Source organism: Homo sapiens, chromosome 3, assembly GCF_000001405.40.
Source record: "Homo sapiens chromosome 3, GRCh38.p14 Primary Assembly".
Classification (NCBI taxonomy): Eukaryota; Metazoa; Chordata; class Mammalia; order Primates; family Hominidae; genus Homo; species Homo sapiens.
In genome coordinates, this window is record NC_000003.12 from 128,527,556 (window position 1) to 128,533,707 (window position 6,152).

Sequence of the window (6,152 nt, forward strand, 5' to 3'; positions counted from 1 at the left end):
CCTATAATTTGCCTATTCTAGACATTCAATAAAAATGGGATTATATTCTTTTTGTGACTAGCTCTTTTTGTGGTCTTTCTGTGACTAGCTCTTTCACTTAGCATAATGTTTTCAAGTTTTATCCAAGTAGTAACAAGCGCCAGTATTCCTTTCTCTTTATGACTGAATAATATTCTAGTCTATGGCTATATCACATTTTATTTACCCATTTATCAGTTGATGGACATTTGGGTTGTTTCTACCTTTTGGATATTATGAATAGTGCTTCTGTGAACATTTGTGTACAAGTTTTAATGTAAACATGTGTTTCCACTTCTCTTGGGTAGATACCCAAGAGTAAAATTTCTAAGTCATAGGGTAACTCCACGCTTGACCATTTGAAGAACTGCCAGACTGTTTTCTAAAGTGACTGTACCATTTTATATTCCCACCAGCACTGTATGAGGGTCCCAATTTCTCCATATCCTCATCAACACTTGTTATTTGACTTTTTATTATAGCTATCCTAGTGGATGTGAATCAATGTGTCCTGGTTTTGATTTGCATTTCCCTGATAACTAATGATGTTGATCATTTTTTCACATGTTTATTGGACATTGGTATATCTTCTTTGGAGAAATGCCATTTTGAAATGGCCAAAGGACTTGAATTTGTTTATTTGGTTTTTGTTTTTGTTTTTGTTCTTGTTTTGTTTTTGTTCTTGTTCTTGTTCTTGTTTTTTGAGACGGAGTCTCACCCTGTCGCCCAGGCTGGAGTGCAGTGGTGCGATCTTGGCTCACTGCAATCTCCACTTCCCGGGTTCAAGAAATTTCTACCTCAGGCTCCCAAGTTGCTGGGATTACAGGTGCCCACCACCATGCCTGGCTAATTTTTGTATTTTTAGTAGAGATGGGGTTTCACCGTCTTGGCTAGGCTGATCTTGAACTCCTGACCTCGTGATATACCCTCATTGGCCTCCCAAAGTGCTGGGATTACAGGCATGAGCCACCACGCCCAGCTGTTTATTTGGTTTTTTAAAAAATTATTGAGTTGTAAGATTTTTAAAAATATTTTTAGATACAAGTCCTTTATCAGATACATAATTTGAAAATATTTTATTCCATTCTGTGGGTTGTCTTTTCACTTTCTTGATGGTATCTTTTGAAGCACAAAAGTTTTTAATTTCGACAAATTTCTAATTTTTCTATTTATTTCTTTTGTTGCTTATGCTTTTGGTGTTCAGTCTAAGAATCATTGCCAAATCTGAGGTCTTGAAGATTTACTCCTATATTTCTTCTAATAGTTTTATAGTTTTAGGTCTATTTTTTTCTTTGACAGCTTTAGGGTACAAGTGGATTTTGGTTATATGGATAAACTGTATGGAAGTGAATATTTAGGTCTTTGATCCATTTTGAGTCAATTTTTTATATGGTGTAAGGTAAGGGTCCAACTTCTTTCCTTCGCATATGTCTACCCAGTTGTCCCAGTACCACTGGTTGAAAAAACTATTCTTTCCCCATCTTGGCAACATTGTGAAAAATCAGTTTGCCACCAATGCATGGGTTTAATTCTAGATTTTTATTCTATTCCATTGGTCTTTCTGGCTATCCTTATGCTAGTACCACACTGTCTTGATTACTGTTGCTTTGTAGTACTTTTTTTCTTTTTTTTTTTTAGATGGAGTCTCACTCTCTCACCAGGCTGGAGTGCAGTGGCATGATCTCGGCTCACTGCAACCTCCACCTCCTGGGTTGGAGCAATTTTCCTGCCTCAGCCTCCCAAGTAGCTGGAACTACAGGTGTGCGCCACCATACCCAGCTAATTTTTGTATTTTTAGTAGAGACGGAGTTTCACCGGGTTGGCCAGGATGGTCTCGATCTCTTGACCTCGTGATTCACCTGCCTCGGCCTCCCAAAGTGCTGGGATTACATGTGTAAGCCACCACACCCGGCCTGTAGAGAGTTTTAAAATCAGGACGTGTAAGTCCTCCTACTTTGTTCTTCTTTTTAAGAATTGTTTTTGGCTATTCTTGATCCCCCACAATTCCATATGAATCTTAGAACCAGATTTTCTATTTTACCATTAAAAGAATTCAGCTGTGATTCTGACAGAGACTTTGTTGAATCTGTACATCAATTTGGGGAATATTGTCATTTTAACAATATTAAGACTTCTGATCCATGCATATGGGATGTTCTTCCATTTATTTCTATTTCCTTTTTTTTTTTTTTTTTTTTTTTTTTTTTTTTTTTTTTTGAGATGTAGCTTCGCTCTTGTTGCCCAGGCTGGAGTGCAATGGCTCAATCTCGGCTGACTGCAACCTCTGTCTCTTGGGTTCAAGTAATTCTCCTGCCTCAGCCTCCCAAGCAGCTGAGATTATAGGCATGCACCACCATGCCTGGCTAATTATTTCTATTTTCTTTAGATTGCTTAATAAAAATGTTTTGTAGTTTTCAGATTATATGTTTTACACTTCTTTAGTTAAGTTTATCACTAAGGATTTTAGGTTTTTGGTGCTATTTGCTATTGAATTGTTTTCTTACTTTCATTTTTAGATTGTTCATTGCAAGTGTATAGAAATACAATTGACTTTTATATATTGATCTTGTATTTTACAACCATGCTTAATTCATTTATTAGCTCTAATACTTTTTCTAGTGAGTTAGGATTTTCTGTTTATAATATTATGTCTTCTGTGAATAGAGATAATTTTACTTCTTTCTTATCAATATGAATGCATTATATTTCTTTTAATTGACCAACTAGCCTGCTAGAACCTCTAGTATAATGTTAAATAGAAGTGGCAAGAGTGGGTATCCTTGCCTTGTGTCTGATCCTAGAGAAAAAGTATCCAGTCTTTCATGATTCAGTATGATGTTAGCAGTAGGTGTTTTGTAGATGTCCTTTATCAGGTTGAGGAAGTTCCCTTCTACTACAGGTTTGATGAATGTTTTTATTATGAAATGTTGTTGGATTTTGTCAAATGCTTTTTTCTGCATCTATTGAGATGATCATTTGGTTTTGTCCTTCATTCTGTTGATATGGTGTATTGCACTGATTGATTTTTAAATGTTGACTAACCTTACATTCTTGAATAAATACCCCTTGGTTATAGTGTATAATTTGTTATATATGTTGCTGGATTGAGTCTGCCAGTATTTTGTGTAGGAGTTTTGCATTCATAATCATGAGATATTGGTCTGTAGTTTTCTTCTCGTGTAATTTTTTTGTCTGGTTTTGGTATCAGTGTACTGCTGGCATCATAGAAAGAGTTGGGAATTGTTCTCTCATCTTCTTTTTTTTTGGAGAAAAAGTTGTGAAATTCTTTAAATTTTTGGTAGAATTCACCAGAAGTCATCTGGCCCTGAGTTTCTCTTTGGGAGTAGTTCTGTTGTTGTTGTTTACTAACTCAATCTTTTTGCTTGTTACAGGTCTATTCAGATTGTTTGTTTCTTCTTGAATTAGTTTTGGTAGTTTGTGCCTTTCTAGGAATTTGCCCACTTCATCTAGGTTACCTAATTTTATTAGCATATAATTGATCACAGTTTTCATTTATAATCATTTTTATTTCTGTAAGTTCAGTAGTAACATTCCCTCATTCATTCCTGATTCTAAATATTGAGTCTTTTCTGTCTTTTACTTATTCAGTCCAGCTAAAAGTCTATTTTACATGAATTAGTATAGCCAATCCAGCCCTCTTGTGTTTGCTGTTTGCATAATATATCCTTTTCCAATTCTTTTTTTCAGTCTATTTGTATCTGTAACTCCAAATTGTGGCTCCTTTAGACAAGGTATAGTTGGGTCTTGTTTGTTTTTCCCGTGTGACAATCTCTGACTTTTGACTAGATTGTTTAATCCATTTACATATAATGTTATTATTGATATAATCGGATCTACTTCTGCTATTTTACTTTTTTTTCTCTGTCTACTGTCTTTTTTGTTCCTCTATTCCTACTTTACTCCTTCCCTTTGCATTAAATATTTTCTAATTTAGCCTTTAAATTTATGTAATGTTATTTTCAATATATTCTTTTGAGGTATTTCCTTAGTGGTTGATCTAGGGCTTACCATCAACTTCAGATTTTTACTAACTTAACTCCAATGAGATGTTACTCCTAATAGCTCTATTCACTTTTCCCCCTTTTTTACAGTATTATTGTTATTTTTATATATTACATTTATGAATGCTATAAACCCAACATTACAGTGTTATAATTATTACTTTACATAACTTCAGGTCTCAAAGAAGCTGTGAGGAGAAAAGAGAGCAACTATGTATTTATAGTTTTTATTATATTAGCCATGTTATTTATCATTCCTTGTTCTCTTAAAAAAACAATTGAAGTTCTGCTTTGGTACTTTTCCTGGACTATGCCCTCTTTACCTCTTTCTCAGACTAATCTCAATCTGTATCCTTTCCCTGTGATAAACTGTAACTGTGAATTTAACAGCTTTTAGTGAGTTCTGTGAGTCTTTCCAGTGAACTGTCAAAACTTGGGGACCCCCCAAACTTGCAATTAATATTAAAAGTAAGGGCAGTCTCATGTGGACTGTGTCCCCTCTGACTTCGCACTTGGCCTAAACTGCACAAATAATTCCCAAGGTTAGTGTTTGAAACTTGTTCTAACTCCCAAGACGGCCCCTCCCAGCTGTCTCTTCCCCATTTCTATTCAGCAAAGTAGCCAGCTTGCAGTTTAGCCTGTTTCTCCACTGAATCTAGCAACATCCCCCTCATGGCCTTTCACCACAACCTCCACTGATTTTCAGAGCGCTCTTAGGCTTGAATTTCTCCAAACTCTGTTGCATATAAAGTCAGTTCCTTTGGGGAGAGATTTGGAGTTTTCTATTTTATGGCTTGCTTCTCTCTCTGGGCAAAATCTCTGAGCCACGGTTCTGGTAATTGGGGCAGGAACAATGGCATGCTCTCCTCTCAGTGACACCCCAGTTTTAGGAGCTGAGCACTCAGTGGAGAGGGGGAGGCAGCAGCCCCAGGTCTCCTCAGCTTACCTTTCCCAGTGTGGATCCTTCATCCCACAGGACAGGGGGTGAGCAGTAGGGGCCCCAGGATTCTCGGTGGTTCTGTGCCCTGTACTGAGCCTTTGTCCTACAAGTGGGGGGTGCTGGGCAGAAGGAAGCCTCCACTTCTGAGATGCACTTGCCCGGAATTTAGCCTCAGCAACAGGTAGCTGTGGGCAGAATGAGAAAAATCTGAAGATCTGCCCCTCCCAGGAGGATAACCCTTCAACAGAAAGCTGCAGGGTGGCGGGGGAAGGAGTCCTGTGTCCTCGACTATACTAGCACGATGCAGGGTTTCACTATCTCACTGAGCTGGGAGCAAGGGGAAAGAGGGTCTTGGTCCAAATACCACAGACTGAGTTTTAGGAGATTTGCTTGAATAAATATTTCTTCATTTGCCATATGTTCTTAGGACCATTTCCAGAGTGATTGTTTTAGAATAACTTTTTACCAGTTTTGATTGCAGCTGGGTCCATAGAGCTCCTCATGCTGTCAGGCCAGAAGTACAAACTTGCTTCCAGGGTGTAGTGCCCTTTGGGGTCTGAACCTGGGGATTTTATCAAGGCCCCTGCTTCTGGGCAGTTTCTGACTTCCGTTTCTTATCTTCTCAGGACCATGAATCTGTCAAGAGTTGTTTACGGCCGGGCGCAGTGGCTCACGCCTGTAATCCCAGCACTTTGGGAGGCCCAGGCAGGCTGATCACTTGAGGTCAGGAGTTCAAGACCAGCCTGGCCAACATGGTGAAACCCCGTCTCTACTGAAAAAATAAAAAAATTAGCCAAGCATGGTGGTGCATGCCTGTAACCCCAGCTACTTGGGAAGCTGAGGCAGGAGAATTACTTGAACTCAGGAGGCGAAGGTTGCAGTGAGCCGAGATCATGCCACTGCACTCCAGCCTGGATGCAGAGCCAAACTGTCTCAAAAAAAAAAAAAAAAAAAAAAGAGTTCGGTTTACTTCTTAACTTTTCAGCCTTTCAGAATCAGCCTTGAGAGGGAAATGGTACCAAATGCCAGACTCCCATCTGCCAGACACCCATCTCTGGGTGTCCCTTCTATCCTTAGTGGCTGATCTAGGGCTTACCATCAACTTCAGATCTCGCTCTGTTGCCAGGCTGGAGTGCAGTGGCACCATCTTGGCTCACTGCAACCTCCGCCTC

The 6,152-nt window shown here is 38.8% G+C and overlaps 1 annotated feature.

Annotated features, from left to right (window-relative positions):
- Positions 5,307 to 5,807: a transcriptional cis regulatory region, noted in NCBI's record as "intergenic|chr3:128251705-128252205 region (GRCh37/hg19 assembly coordinates) targeted for CRISPR interference". NCBI's record gives its function as "negatively regulates RPN1 gene expression in K562 cells {active_cell/tissue: K562}" and the evidence as "EXISTENCE:mutant phenotype evidence [ECO:0000015][PMID:31784727]".